Source organism: Homo sapiens, chromosome X (assembly GCF_000001405.40).
Source record: "Homo sapiens chromosome X, GRCh38.p14 Primary Assembly".
Lineage (NCBI taxonomy): Eukaryota > Metazoa > Chordata > Mammalia > Primates > Hominidae > Homo > Homo sapiens.
The window spans coordinates 22180614-22196126 of NC_000023.11; the positions used below are offsets into that span (position 1 = coordinate 22180614).

A 15513-nucleotide genomic window follows, 5' to 3' on the forward strand; every position below is an offset into this window, starting at 1 on the left:
CTTTCTTTATGTTACAGACAATCCAATTATACAGTTTTAGTTATTTTTAAATCTATAAAAAGTTGTTGACTGCAGTCACCCTGTTATGCTATCAAATAGATCTTATTCATTCTATCTAAGTATATTTTTGTACCCATTAACCATCCCCTCGACCCAGTACCCTTCTCAGCCTCATTCTACTCTCTATCTCCATGGGTTCAATTGTTTTCATTTTTAGCTCCCACAAATAAGTGAGAACATGTGAAGTTTTCTTTCTGGGGCTGGCTTATTTCACTTAGTATTGTCTAGTTTCATCCATGTAGTTGTAAATGACAGGATTTCATTCTTTTTTATGGCTTAATTGTACTCCATTGTATATATATACCACATTTTCTTTATCCATTTGTCTGTTGATGAACACATAGGTTGCTTCCAAATCTTGGCTATTGTGAACAGTTCTACAATAAACACGGGAGTGCAGATGTTCCTTCGATGTACTGATTTTCTTTCTTTTAGGTATATACCCAGCAGTGGGATTGGTGGACTGTAAGGTAGCTCTATTTTTAGTTGTTCGAGGATCCTCCAAACTGTTCTCCATAGTGGTTGTACTAATTTACATTCCCAGTAACAAAGTACAAGGGTTCTCTTTTCTCAACAACCTCACCAGAATTTGTTTTTGCCTGTCTTTTGAATAAAAGCCATTTTAACTGGGGTAAGATGATATCTCATTGTAATTTTTGATTTGCATTTCTCTGATAATCATTCATGTTGTGCACCTTTTCATATACCTGTTTGCCTTTTGTATGCCTTCATTTGAGAAATGTCTATTCAGATCTTTGTGTCTATGTGTCTGTTTTTATGCCAATATCATGCCATTTTGGTTACTATAGCTCTGTAGTATAATTTGAAGTTAAGTAATGTGATTCTTCCAGTTTTGTTGTTTTTGCTCAGGATAACATTGGCTATTCTGGATCTTTTGTGGTTCCATATAAATTTTAGGAATTTTTTTCTATTTCTTTGAAGAATGTCATTGATATTTTGATGGGGATTACAGTGAATCTGTAGATTGCTTTTGGTAGTATGGGCGTTTTCACAGTATTGATTCTTCTAATCCATTAACATGGAGTATCTACTTTTTTGTGTCCTCTTCAATTTCTCGCATCAATGTTTTTATAGTTTTCATTGTGGAGACCTTTCACTTCTTTAGTTAAGTTTATTCCTAGGTATTTTATTTTATTCGTAGCTATTGTAAATGAGATTATCTTCTTGACTTCTTTTACAGATCGCTTTCTCTTAGAATATAGAAATGCTACTGATATTTGTATGTTGATTTTGTATCCTGTAACTTTACTCAGTTTATCATTTTAATAGTTTTTTTGGTAGAACCTTTAGGTTTTTCCAAATATAAGATCATATTGTCTACAAACAAGGGTAATTTGACTTCTTTCTTTCTAATTTGGATGCCCCTTATTTCCTTCTGTTGTCTGATTGCTCTAGCTAGGACTTCTAGTACTATGTTGAATAATAGTGGTAAAAGTGGACATCCTTGTCTTGTCTAGATCTTAGAGGAAAGGCTTTCAGTTTTTCCCCATTCAGTGTGATACTAACTGTGGCTCTGTCATATATGACTATTACTGTGTTTAGGTATATTCCTTCTATATCCGGTTTTTCGAGAGTTTTTATCCTGAAACGATGTTGAATTTTATTAAATGCTTCTTTAGCATCAGTTTACATGATCATATGCCCCGTGTTTCTTTCCACTGTGATAGGACAGCACTGAGTTCCAGTGCAAAGTCCCACAATCACCGTACTCTCCTTCCCCCAAGCGCAGAGGTTTTTCTCTCTGTGCCCATGTGGCTGCTGCTGGGGAATGAGGGAAGGACGGTATAGGCAATTCAAGACTGGCTTTCCTACCCTCTTCAGTGCCTCTTTCCTTGATGTGATGTTAAAACCAGGTATTGTGATTGTTCACCTGGATTTTGGTTCTTATGAAGATGCTTTGTGTGTGTGTGTGTGTGTGTGTGTGTGTGGCTAGTTGTTCAATTTGGTGTTCCTGCAGGGAGGACACTTGCTGGAGGTTTCTACAGCCTTCTTGCTCTGCTTCATCCTCTATGTTGGCCATTTTTATCTGACAAAGCTGTGGCTTTTCACTGCCACCCCCAGTTGAGTCTACCCACTGGGGCAGCAAAGCTGCTGATTTCCCAGCCAGCCTTTTTCTGACAAAACTAAGGTCTCACTGAGCTAGGAGGGACAGGAGTAGTCTCAGGCAAAAAGGCCATAGTGCCTGCTCTACTTAATGCCAAGTTCTAGCAGTTTTTAAATATTAAATTTTGTTTAATTTATTGCTCCCCCTTGATGAATTCCCAGATTCCTAAAATGGTTATTTGTTGACAATGTTGTCCAGTTTTGTACTTGGTTTTTGTAGAAATGATTTGTCAACCTTCTCATGCCATTATACCTGCAAGCCTGGCTTCCATGGATTACAATTTTTTTTTTCATGGCCCACTTTTTAACCTTGGCTAATATTCTGATTTCTAGATCTTTGACTGGCTGTTTTTATGCTGCCTAGTCTTTTGCTACTCTCCCTTTCAAGTCCCTGTTCTGTCCTGGCTTCTAGAAACTCTGAGCCCCTGTGCTTTCCCTTGGCTTAAGTGGTGATTACCACTTCTCCCTCTTATGTTTCCATCCGGCCATCCCTGCTCTCTGCCCTTCAAACCTTCCTATAATATGCACCTGAAAAATTCATTGGAGGTTACTGACTTTAAGAGGTAGGCCTAAAGCTGAATCTCTCCCCTACCTAACCCTGACTCCAGTCAAAAGCACAAAGGAAAACAGCTTTAGAACTGCTTTGAAAAATGATAGATAATGGTTTAAAGCCATTTGCTCCACTGTCTTTGGTTCTTTCCTCTCATCACGTTATTTCTCAGTCCACCTATCCTGTTTCATTCCCAGTCTAAATTATTCAATAGTTTTAGATTTAGGCTTCTTAAATCCAATACTCAAATCTGATGACTTTGGCAAATGATTTCCAGTATCCCTATGACCATCTACATGTAATACGGTAGTCACAGATCTATATAATCTTGCCCTTCAATATTTGCTTCAGATCAGTTCCAACTCTTTTTTAAAAAAAAAAATCTGTGGAAAATTGAAGGGTTTCACCAATTTTTTGGTGAATTTTCAGGGTCTTCTCAGGGGCTCCTGCATATTGGCAATACAGTCAGTCTAATTGTTTGATTTCAAAATGTCATTATTCATTTAGTTGTGTAGAAAGGCCTGGATTAGTAATTGAAAAACTCCTAAATGTGTTATCTTTAACATCGTCCTAGGATACTGATGAACTTTCAGATTCTAATGGTCTTAACTATTTCTAATATTTTATTCATGCCTTAGAAATATACTGGCTTTGCAGGCTTAGGCAAACTGAGATTTGTGTGGTTTTCTTTTCTGTCATTGAAAAACAAATAGCTCTTTCACAAGGGTATTAAATTGGTTAACTTTTGGGAAAAGTTCTCCAGAAATGGAAATCAGTGCAATGCTTGTAATTCTTGTTTCCTCAGACTATATGTCTATTTCAGGGAAATAACATTTAGAAATTTAAGGTCTTCTTTGCATAGTAAAGGGATATGAGTAAATTCCTTTTCCTTCTTGTTTTTTTTTTTTAAAGGAAACATCTGGCTGGACCTTTTCAGGCATTGTAGAGACTTTTAGCCTCATGATACTCATTGGCTTGAATGGACATCTTTCAGGTCTGAAAATTCATGAGTTAATCGAGTGGGGATCATTCTGGAGTAGCTCTACTACACTAGTTTACTTTGAACAGCATCATGATTATATTTTCACAAAGCCCTGAAATAACGTTTTGCTTCTTTGTGGGTGTAGGAGATAAAGACCCTTTATCTTTTATTCTCATGGAATCCATTTTAGCTGCACTAATGTGCATTAAGAAGTTTCTAAGGCGATGGGAAATGTCAGCAAGAATGAAATTAATTGGGTGGTCATCCCTGAAGGTACATATTTAGGGGTTGGTTCACAGAATTGTCACTTCATCAGCTTGCTTAAAAATAGAGGATTTACTTACTGCTCGGCTTGAGTTGAAAGTAATTTCTTTCCCTCAGGATCACCTTCTTTGACAGAAATTATTTTAGCCCGCCTCACTTTTAACTCACTCTCATTCTACTGAGACCAAACACGTCTGAATTCTCTATCTTTTGAAAAATATGTAAAAATGCATTAAATGTCTTTATAAATTATGTTCCTGCCCAGAACTTTTGTTTGCAAAAGCATTATCTATAGCATGGAATGTGAGTGATATAATCTGCAGGATATTAATAAGAAAGCAATAAATACACTATTGCTTTTCCATTCCATATTCCCTAGACTATCTGTAGGAGTTGATAAGAAAAATGTAAAACTTTAGCCTGATGTATATCTATTTTATATGGTCCAAAGAAATAGGTGTACCAATGTCTTTTTCTTCAGATTCTTGTATTTTGGTATTATATTCCTTTTATGTATCTCATTCTCCAGTATAATTTCATCCCCATTATTGTGGGATTTGAAATTTCTATGAGACCTCTCCTTACCTTATCCACCAAATCCTTTCTCAAACACAGACTGCAGAAGCACCCTAAAGACATAGTAAGAAGAATTTAAAGCACTTGAATGATATTCTCTGTTTATTGAAGTGGATGTATACATGCAATAAATTCATTTTAATGGATTTAGTGATCTTCTGTTCAGCACTTACCATTTGGACAACAGTCAAAGCCCATAAGCAACTTAAAATCTTGTTGGGACATAAGCTGTGCAAACTCAGATGCCTTCAGGGGCCAGTCAGTTAACAAATGGTTGACCTACATGGGTGTAAACAACAGGGAGTGGTAGGGACTGTAGAAAACTAGTAATTACACACACCACTTGAAGGAATTCCAATTCAATAGTTTGTTAAGCCATTGTGTTGGGCAAGCAAAACAGTTTTCTGGGAAGATTCAGCCCATTGGGTTGGACTTAGTCTGTGGATAGCCAACTTTTCAGCATTCCATTTATCTATTGCTGTGTGATAAACCTCCCCCAAATTTAGAGTACTGAAACAACAGTCATTATTTTTCTCTCTCATGGTTCTGGGGGTCACTAGGCTCAGCTGCATGGTTCTCGTTTGTGGTTTTTTTTTTTTTTTTTGGACACAGAGTCTCACTCTGTCACCAGGCTGGAGTACATTGGCGTGATCTCGGCTCACTGCAACCTCCGTCTCCCAGGTTCAAGCGATTCTCCTGCCTCAGCCTCCTGAGTAGCTGAGATTACAGGTGCCCGCCACCACGCTGAGCTAATTTTTGTAGTTTTAGTACAGACAGCATTTCACCATGTTGGCCAGGCTGGTTTCGAACTCCTGACTTCAGGTGATCTGCCCACCTCAGCCTCCCAAAGTGCTGGGATTACAGGCATGAGCCACTGCACCTGACCATTTGTGGTCTTTCATGTAGTTACAGTCAGATAGTGGCTGGGGCTAGAGTCATATGGAAGGCTACCTCTCTCACATGTCTAATGGTTGATGCTGACTGTTGACTAGAACATCTACATATGGCCTCTTCATGTATGTTGGGTTTCCTTACAGCATGTTGATTGATATAGAAAGTTCAAAGAGCAGCTTTTCTGAGAAAGAAGAAGGGAGGGAGGGTGTGTTTGTATGCATCAGGGGGAAGTTGTATCACCTTTAATTACCTAGCCTTGGAAGTCACACTGTCATTTCTGCTGCGTATTATTCTTTAGAAGTGAGTCACTAAGGCTAACCCATAATCAAGGGGAGAGGAATTTAGATTCCATCTCTTAATGGGAGGAGTGTAAAAAAGTTCACAAACACATATTAAAACTAGCACATGTAGCCTTACATTAGAGAATAGTAAAACTAAATATATAATAAACTTGGATGTAATACGGGAGATATACAAAATGTTTAACAGCTGGTTTGGCATGGGCCCTGAACAAATAGAAGAAATAACAGCATCAACAACTGGTAGGATCTACTGGTGCAGCTGCTTAATATCAGCTCTGGGTATTATCAAGTCTCCATACGTGCCCTAGAGTCAATAAGAGCCCTGGGAGGTCAGGAATGGTAAGATCATGTGTCTGAAATAAGATGTTTTCGTTATTCTTGTTGAAGCTTCAGAAGCCCCATTAAGGTCTAGTTTCAGAGACTGGTTGTTTGGTTTGCTTTGTCTACCTTTGTCTACCAGCAGTTAGGAACATTTTCCCTGCATGGCCCTTACCTGAATATTTTAAAAGTTTGTTATTTTAAAGAGAGGGGAGTTGGGAAGAACAAAAAGAGAAGGGACAAGCTCTAGGAATACACGTTATCTTTTGTATGTATTATGATTCATTCCAGTGTTATTTAGAAGCCAAGGCACCCACCTGGATTTTCCCCTCTTGACCTACAAATGTTGGGTTCTTTGGATAGTGCATTAGTTTCCTATTGCTACTGTAACAAACTCCTACAACCTAAGCAGCTTAAAACAGCACAGATTTATTATCTCACAGTTCTCTAGCTCAGAAGTCTAGGGTAGCTTGGTTGTTTTCTCTGCTTTGGATTTCATAAGGCTGAAATCAGAGTGTCAGCCGGCTGGGCTCTTATGGGGAGGTTCTGGGAATAATCCCCTTCCAAGGGGATTCAAGTTGTTGGCAGAATCCAGTTCTTTCTGATTGTAGGGGTAAGGTCTTTACTTCCTTGCTGGCTATCGCCTGGAAGCCACTCTTTGTTCTCAGAGGGATTTATGCAGTCCTTGCCCATTGCCCCTACATCTTAGAGCCAGCAGCGTGTCAAATCCTTCTTACCCTTCCTCCTCTCCGACTTCCTCCTCTGTTGCATCTCTCTGATTCCAGCCAAACAAGGTTGTCTGCTTTTAAGGGCTTGTGATTAGATTGAGCCTACCTGAATAATCCAGGATAATCTCTCTATTTTAAGGTCCTTAAGCTTAATTACACCTGCAAAGTCCTTCTTACTATGTAATGTAACATGTTCATAGGATCCAGGGATTAGGACTTGGCCATAATTTTACCTACTACAGGTAGCCAAGTTAGGTCAATAGAGGTGCTTTCCCCTTCACTTGTTTCCTCAGGAAAGTAGGCCAACCAGCAAGTTTATGTTAAACACTAGGGCTTAATTGAAATACCCTAAATTTGAAGGAAAAGAATATGCATTTTATGGAAATATGTCTAGGTTTCGGTTTTGAAGAGAGAAGAGGTGCTCTTTCTTGATTTCCAGTAATGTCTACAGTATAATATAATGCTTAGGCGAACTGGTTTGAAGTCAGACAGACCAGGCCTCGTACAAGCACATAATGCTCATAAATCTCATTATCCTCGTCTGTGAAATGGGCTAATAATTCCTATGTTGCCATGGGGAAAAACTGATGAATAGAAGGTGCTTAGGACATAGTAAGTGCTCAATGAATGTTAGCTAAATATAATGATAATGATAACAGAATGACATATTCATAGACTTCTTTGTAGCTGGGGAGAAGGTATGAGTTTACCAACTAGTATCAATAATTGGGTTTCCTATTAGTTTCATATTAACCTGATATAAATTAATTTGTTAGTCTGACATAATTATCCTATTAGACGTAAATGAGTAATACAATTATTCTAGAAAGGGATTTATACAAGTTTTTTTTTTCTTTTTAATTTTTTTAGAGACTGGAACTTCTGGGCTCAGGCAGTCCTCCTGCCTCAGCCTCCCAAGTAGCTGGAACTATATTTGCATGCCACTGCTGGGCCTAGGAGTTTATTTTTAGCAATTTTGCTTAAGATGAATTGCTTGGTTTTAATCATAACAAGCAGTCACTGAAACTCACAACCATCTAAGTCAGGGTTTGGCCACTATGGCCTGTGGGCCAAATCTCACCTGCTGCCTGTTTTTGTGTGGCCCATGAGCTAAGAATAATTTTTAGAGATAAATGTTTGCAGGTGGTTTGATGATGGGGAAGCCCTAACTTTGTTCTGTTTTTTGTTTTTGTTTTTTAATTAAAATAACTTTTGTTGGTACGTAGTAGTTGTAAATATTTATGGGGTACATGAGATATTTTGATACAGGCCTGCAATGCATAATCATCACATCATGGAAAATGGGAGTATCCATCCCCTCAAGCATTTATCCTTTGTGTTACAAACAATCCGCTTATATTATTATAGTTATCTTAAAATGTACAATTACTATTGACTATAGTCACCCTGTTGTGCTATCAAATACTAGGTCTTATTCATTCTTTCTAACTATACATTTTTTGTACCCATTACCCATCCCCACTTCTCCCCCATTCCCCTACCGCCCTTCCCAACCTCTGGTAACCATCCTTCTACTCTCTATCTCCACGAGTTCAATCGTTTTGGTTTTTAGATCCCACAAATACGTGAGATCTCACAAATACGTGAGAACATGCAATGTTTGTCTTTCTGTGCCTGGCTTATTTCACTTAACATAATGACCTCCAGTTCCATCCATGTGTTGCAAATGACAGGATATCATTCTTTTTATGGCTGAATAGTACTCCATTGTGTATATGTACCACATTTTCTTTATCCATTCACCTGTTGGTGGACACTTAGGCTGCTTCCAAATCTTGGCTATTGTGAACAGTGCTGCAACAAACATGGGAGTGCAGATATCTCTTTGATTATTTTCTTTCCTTTGAGTATATACCCAGCAGTGGGGCTGCTGGATCATATGGTAGCTCCATTTTTAGTTCTTTGAGGAACCTCCAAATTGGAGAAGCATAACTTTGAACCCCAATTAAGCAAAAGGTTATCTCATCCCAAAATAATTCCGTTATTCTCATTAATAGGCATATATTAGAAATAATTGTACTCAGCTGGGCATGGTGGCTCACGCCTGTAGTCCCAGAACTTTGGGAGGCTGAAGTGGGTGGATCACTTGAGGTCAGGAGTTTGAGACCAGCCTGGCCAACATGCCGAAACCCTGTCTCTGAAAAAAAAAAGAGAAATAATTGTACTTGATTACTATTGTTATTTTTTGGATTTCATCAATAAAATTTGTGGACAGTTTGCTCTTAAGTACCTACGTAATATCCTTGATTTTGCCTCTTTGCCTGTAAAGCCTAAAATATTTATGATCTCACTCTTTACAGAAAAAAATTTGCTGACTGCTGATCCCAGTAACCTATTGTGCATTTAAGGTTTGGGTGTAGACTCCTTTTAGATAGAAGGGATCCTTTAGATGTCCTAATGCAATGCCTTAATTTTATAGCTAAAACCAAACCCCAGGAAGGTAGGTGACTCTTCCCACACAATTCAGCTAGTTAGTGATAGAGGCAGTACACTTTCCACTGGAGCAGGCAGACCCTCTGGGTGGCATAGTTGGACTTTATTCATCTTTCTTTAAATGGACCTCTGTGTTGTCACCAATCCAGAACTTTTAAATGGACAGGCCAGAGGTAATGCAGCATAGAAACCCAATTGTCCATTCAACCCATTGAATAGGGCCTGGCAAATATATAGTTGCTGTGTTTCCATTTGCAGGGACAGCCCTTTAGATTCTAGAATTTCTCTTTAAAACTTTTTCAAAAGCACTGGTGTGCTGACTTTTTTTCTGTTAAGTTAGTAACAATAAATAACTGGGCATGTTAATATATTTTCATTGAGCCATGTTCAGTTTAGGATGAGATTGTTCATTGAGCAGTACAGTAGCCCCAAACTGAGGGAATAATTTCCCCTCATGTCCAACATCCCCATTGTTCCATGTTATCTGCTAATAAACCCAGCCATGCTGTGTTTGTCTTTGCTTCCCTCCTGCCTGTATAATGATGATTGCTCTCTGGCATTTGTTTCTTTTTCTACAGGTGGTTTACAAATCCGACGACTGTCAATGCCTTCTACAGTGCATCCACCAACCAGATCCGTGAGTACGGGTTCCTTGTCTCCTTGGTAACCTGGTATAAAATGCAAAGAACTTTTCCATGACTATGATGGAGGGTAAGACATTTCTTATTTCCCCCAAAAGTGGCAGGGTATGCTGGTGAAGGAAGGTTGTTCTCCTACCTATATGCCAAATTTTCCTCACTCTCTTCACCTTACCAGTTTTTTTTAAAGCTTTATGTCACCACTGATTGAAAAAAAGTCAACTACAGTAAACCAAATTAAACCATAATGAAGTTTGCCATGAAAAGGAGCAAGTTTCCACTTTCCTTTCATAATGGCCTTACTGATTTTGTCCATGCCATTTTATTCATTCCTAGGATTGGTGGGGAAAACAGCAGGTAACTGAGCAGATTGTAGAACCTGAGCGGACCATCTGTATGTAAGAAAGAAGCTTGGAAATATTCTTATTAACGCTAGGAAGTTATGTCTTGAGGTTTTCTACTTACATGTATCAGGTATATGTAATTAAAAATACCATGATAAATTTAAAAAATTATTATTTTTATTATTTTTTAAAGACAGAGTCTCCCTCTGTCACCTAGGCTGGAGTTCAGTGGTACGATCCTGGCTCACTGCAACCTCTGCCTCCCAGGTTCAAATTATTCTTGTGCCTCAGCCTCCTGAGTAGCTAGGAGTACAGGTGTGCACCACCACGCCCAGCTAAATTTTTTTTATTTGTATTTTTAGCAGAGATGGGGTTTTGACATGTTGACTAGGCTGGTCTCAAACTCCTGGCCTCAAGTGATCTGCCCACCTTGGCCTTCCAAAGTGCTGGGATTACAGGCGTGAGCCACTGCACCTGGCCTTAAAAAATTATTAAGATCTGAATGGCACAAATAAAAAGTCTGACAGCTTCCAGCCTTGGCAATAAGGACACATACTCACTGCTGGTGGAAAGATAGATGGGCTCATCCACTTTGCAGGGCAATTTGACAATATCTCAAAAAGCTGAAGTTGTGCATGCATACCTATGACCATGATGTGTGCTCCTGGAATGTGCTCTAATGTTGTGAGTCTTGAAATGTGGTCCTTGGACCTGCAGTAATAGCATCATGGGGGATCTTGTTAGAAATGCAAATTCCCAGGCCCCACCTTAGGTCTATTGATCAAACTTTGGATGTGGAGCTCAGAAATCTGGTGCAATAAAACCTGCAGGTGATTGTAATGTATGCTAAAGTTTGGGAACAGCTGCCCTAGAGAACTCTTGCACAAGGCATAAAGAAGCCCATGCAAAAATGCTCATAACAGTATTATTTATAATAGTAGAAAAAGCAAAATAACCTACATATTCCTCTGCAGGAAGATGAGTCACATGTGGCATATTCACACAAAGGAATACCATACAGCAGTGAAAAATGAGCAACATATATTAACATGGATGAATTTCACAAGTAAAACAACTTGGGAAAATATATCAAGTATGATACTATATAAATAAAGTTGAAAATCATGCAGAACAATTCTACACATGGTTTGGAGGTCCATCCATTTGTAGTGTAAGTGTAAAGACATTCATGAGAATGACAAACACCAAATTCCGGTTGGTGGTGGCTTGTCTTGGGGAGGGTGGGCCACTGTTGCTCAAATCCTTGCTGGTTTCTCCTCATCTCCCATATCTCTTAATGATGGCATGCCCCAAGGCTCAGTCTGCACCTTTTCTGTTCTCTTCTCTCCATCTTTGCTCACTTGCTTGGTGATAACATCTAATCTCATGGTTTTAATCACATTTCTACAGTGTTGAATGCAGGGGATGGAATTTATCACCCTTGTTCATACCACTACTATCTCCCACCTGGATTATGGTAATAGCCTCCTCATTGGCCTCCCTGCTTTTGTTCTTACCCCCCTTCAGTCTATTCTAAATATAATATTGTAGCGATTTTAAGACGTTTTACAATCACATCGTGTCACTTCTTTGCTCAAAAGCTTTTATCAGCATCCCATCTCACTCAGAGAAAGAGCCAAATTATTTATAATGGCCTTAAGGTCTGTTATCTTTCTGCCTGTACCTCCTGCTACTCTCCCCCTTCCTCCCTCCTTCTGTTCCGGCCACACTGGCCTCCTTCGTGTTTATAGAGCACACCTGACACGCTCTGCTCTGGGAGCATTTATACCTGGGGTTGGCTTTCTCTTGGAAAACTTCCCCAAGTGACCTGCCTGGTTTATGCTCCCATTTCCTTCAAATCTTTATTCAAAGGCCAGGCCACCTCCTTAGGGAGGCATCCTGCCTTCCCTCTGGCCAGTTGGCCAGTCTGCCGTGGGTCCTCCATACTGGCCGTTGTTCCTACAGGACTCTGGTCAGAGGACAGCCGGAAGGCTGTGGCTGCTCACTACCAGCTGGCACATCTTCTTAGAGCCGCCCTCGTGTGGCCACTGTTAGGAATGGCAGTTTCTGCCCGACTTCGGTCTGAGAGAGAAATGAACAGAAAGACGAAAGACAAGCAGATGGCGGGATTTTTTTATTTATACATTAATTTACATAACCAAGTAAGTTGTTAAATATTTTGAATGTCACTTCTTACTGTATAAATATTCATTATCACGAAACTACCATTGCTTTCTTAAGGCCCTAAATGCCAACTTGAGAACTAAGTTGCATATGTTATATGGGAACTTATGATATTTGAGTTATTAATTATAACTAATACTTATAATAATTTATTATTAATTATAATCACATTTAGGACATTCTATTGGGAAATAGAAATTGTTTAGATTATTCACTTAAAAACGTTTTATTGTCTAATATTTGGTACATGCAAAAGAACATGTAACATTTTGGCACATATAAGTTATAAAGAATATATGAAAACATGACGAAATTAATATGTGCCTACGACGCCCTCACCCCATCAGGAACCATCCCTCCCTCTCACCACAGAAGTAACACTCTTCTGATTTGAGGGTTTATCATTTTTGTTTTGTTTTTTTAAAATAAAACTTTATTTATATAGGTATCCCTAAAGAATATGTTGTTTATTTTTACTTGTTTCTTAGTATAATAAAAATGGTATCTTACTGTATGCAATCTTAAACAACTGCGATTTTTCAGTCAACATGTTTTTAGGATTTGTTCGTGTAGCATGTGGTGGTAGGTTGTTTTCATGTTCACTGCTGTATAATATTTCATGACTGTACCCCCAGATTGTTTATTCTTCTGTTGTCCAGCCTATGAGTCCCCACACCCAGGTTTTTGCTTATGAACAGTGCTGCTCTGCATATTCTTGTGAATGTCTCTTGGAACAAGTGTCTGAGGGTATACATCCAGGAGTGGAATTATTGGCTGATAGGAAGAAGTTATCTACCAGATAATATCAAATGTTTTCCAAAGCTGGTGTTCCAAAGTACAGAAGTGTTTCTGTTGTTCCTCATTTTCATCAACTCTTGGCATTGGTAGATTTAATTTTCACCAGTCTAGCGAGTGTAAGAGATCAGCTCTGATGCAAGAAAAGCCGACGTTTCCGCATTCACTTTAAAATGTCACTGAAGGCTTACTGCTCCTTGGGGTACTTAAGTGTGTCTAATAATAGTTCCATCTCCAGGGTTCACCCCTGCTCAGCCTTTTTCTTGCCTGGGAAGGGCTAATCCTATCAGAGGTTTACTGAGGAAGAAACCATTTCAGGGTAACCCAATGGTTTCATGAAAGCTCATGGGCAGAGGGTTTTTTTTAAAATGAACAATTTGAAACAGTATTTTAATTAAGAGATTCAAGCTGTTTCTGTTTTCCTAATGACCAGTGCTTGCTCTCATTGTAAATTACATTCCCAGGCAAGATGACAAGGAATCCTTTGGGTGACTTTTTTTTCCCCTCTCTCCTTTCTGATTTTCTGGACTACAAATTAAGACAGGTGGAGTTTCTTCTTACACACTTCCCCACCGGGTTTCCTGGGACTTCCCCCACCCTACAACTGCCTTCTTTTTGCTTCGCTGAAGAAGTGAAAAATTGAGGTGATTCTCTAAAATGAACATCTTTATTGATTAGGGGCTGATTCTGACAGCATGTGGCCATCTGTTTAATTGGGTTTTACATCTAAGATGTAACTATACTTAGTAACGTGATTTATGACAATTTCATTCAGTTCCCATTATCATTTTCTGATTTATGCTACTTAAATCTTCTTCTGCACGCAATAGAGACTTGAATAGAAAACAGAAAAACCTGTAGTTGTTTTTTCTTTTTCAAATCCATGCCTTTGTGTGGAACCCTATGATTTGTGGCCATCTTTCAATGTTAGATTTTTACAGGGTGGTTACAACTTCTTATTTTTCTTCCCTTGTCAAGCTGGGTAGCAACGTCTCTAGACATGGCATGTAGTGTGAAATTATAATGATTTAAATCTGCTGTATGAGGAGTTAAACTCAGTAGCTGTCATAAAATTTAATTATATTTGAATAAGGTGGTTAAAGAGGAAAACACAAATCTGAAATGATTGGTGCTTAACCCTAACTTTGTGATAACTGCGACACTGATCTTGCTGCTTTTCAGAGTGGCAAGGTGAGAACATGAATCAGAGATCTAGTTTGTATGGCCTTAGTCGAGGTTTTTATCCTTCCAGACCCCTATTGTCCTGTCTGCCACATGTTGAGGCTATCTAGCCCATAGGGTTTTAGGGGAAGATTTAATGAGACGAATTTGTAAAGTGCCAGCACATTGCCAAGCTCAGGGCTTGTATATCTAAACCTGGCATGCCAGGAATCCCTGCGATAACCATTGTGTCACAAGACAAACAGCAAAATATAAAGATCGGCAGGGGGGATTATTTCAAACTTTTGCCCTCAAGAGATCTTAGGCCGGGCATGGTGGCTCACGCCTGTAATCCCAGCACTTTGGGAGGCTGAGGCAGGCGGATCACCTGAGGTTGGGAGTTCGAGACCAGCCTGGCCGACGTGGTGAAACCTCATCTCTACCAAAAATATAAAAAATTAGCCAGGCTTGGTGGCAGGCGCCTGTAATCCTAGCTGCTCGGGAGGCTGAGGCAGGAGAATCACTTGAACCCAAAAGGCGGAGGTTGCAGTGAGCCGAGATTGTGCCAGTGCACTACAGCCTGGGCGACAGAGTGAGACTCTGTCTCAAAAAAAAAAAAAGAGATTTTATTATAATGTTCCACATTATAATATGTATGCATGCAACTGACTAAATGCTGAGTAAAAGAAGCCAGGTGTAAGACTAAATACTGTTCTGTTTCATGTGTATAAAGTTCAGGAACAGGCAAATACATCTATATGATAGAAGTTAAAATAATGACTACCTTTGTTGGGGGTATTGACTGAGAGGAGGCATGTGACACATTCTTTATCTTGATCTCAGATGTGGTTACACAGGTGATACAAGAGTAAAAACTCACCGTGTTCTATCATTAAAATTTGTGTCTGGCTGGGTGTGGTGGCTCACGCTTGTAATCCCAGCACTTTGGGAGGCCAGGGTGGGAGGATTGCTTTAACCCAGGAGTTCGAGACTAGCCTGGGCCATATAGCAAGACCCTGTGTCTACAAAAAACAACAAAAAATTAGCCAGGTGTGGTGGCATGCACTTGTAGTCCCAGCTACTCTGGAGGCTAAGGTGGGAGGATTGCTTGAGCCCAGGGGTTTGAGACAGCAGTGAGC

General features: G+C 39.3%; 1 protein-coding gene and 1 long non-coding RNA gene across 7 annotated transcripts in view, besides 1 other annotated feature; one reads left to right on the plus strand and one right to left on the minus strand.

Moving 5' to 3' along the window:
- PHEX (phosphate regulating endopeptidase X-linked) overlaps positions 1 to 15513 on the plus strand; it is a 218986-nt gene that overhangs the window by 148289 nt on the left and 55184 nt on the right. For all 6 annotated transcript variants that reach the window (NM_000444.6, NM_001282754.2, XM_024452390.2 and 3 more), the window contains one exon: positions 9831 to 9889. In NM_000444.6, the coding sequence (NP_000435.3) occupies positions 9831 to 9889 (59 nt within the window). The remainder of the gene's footprint in view (positions 1 to 9830; positions 9890 to 15513) is intronic.
- Positions 11965 to 12224: an enhancer, noted in NCBI's record as "active region_29488". NCBI's record gives its function as "activates an Ori minimal core promoter by ATAC-STARR-seq in GM12878 lymphoblastoid cells {active_cell/tissue: GM12878}" and the evidence as "EXISTENCE:reporter gene assay evidence [ECO:0000049][PMID:35858748]".
- Positions 12392 to 15513, minus strand: part of PTCHD1-AS (PTCHD1 and PHEX antisense RNA) — a 1100142-nt gene continuing 1097020 nt past the window's right edge. Inside the window, exon 12 of the long non-coding RNA NR_073010.2 lies at positions 12392 to 14974. This is a non-coding gene — a long non-coding RNA (PTCHD1 and PHEX antisense RNA). The remainder of the gene's footprint in view (positions 14975 to 15513) is intronic.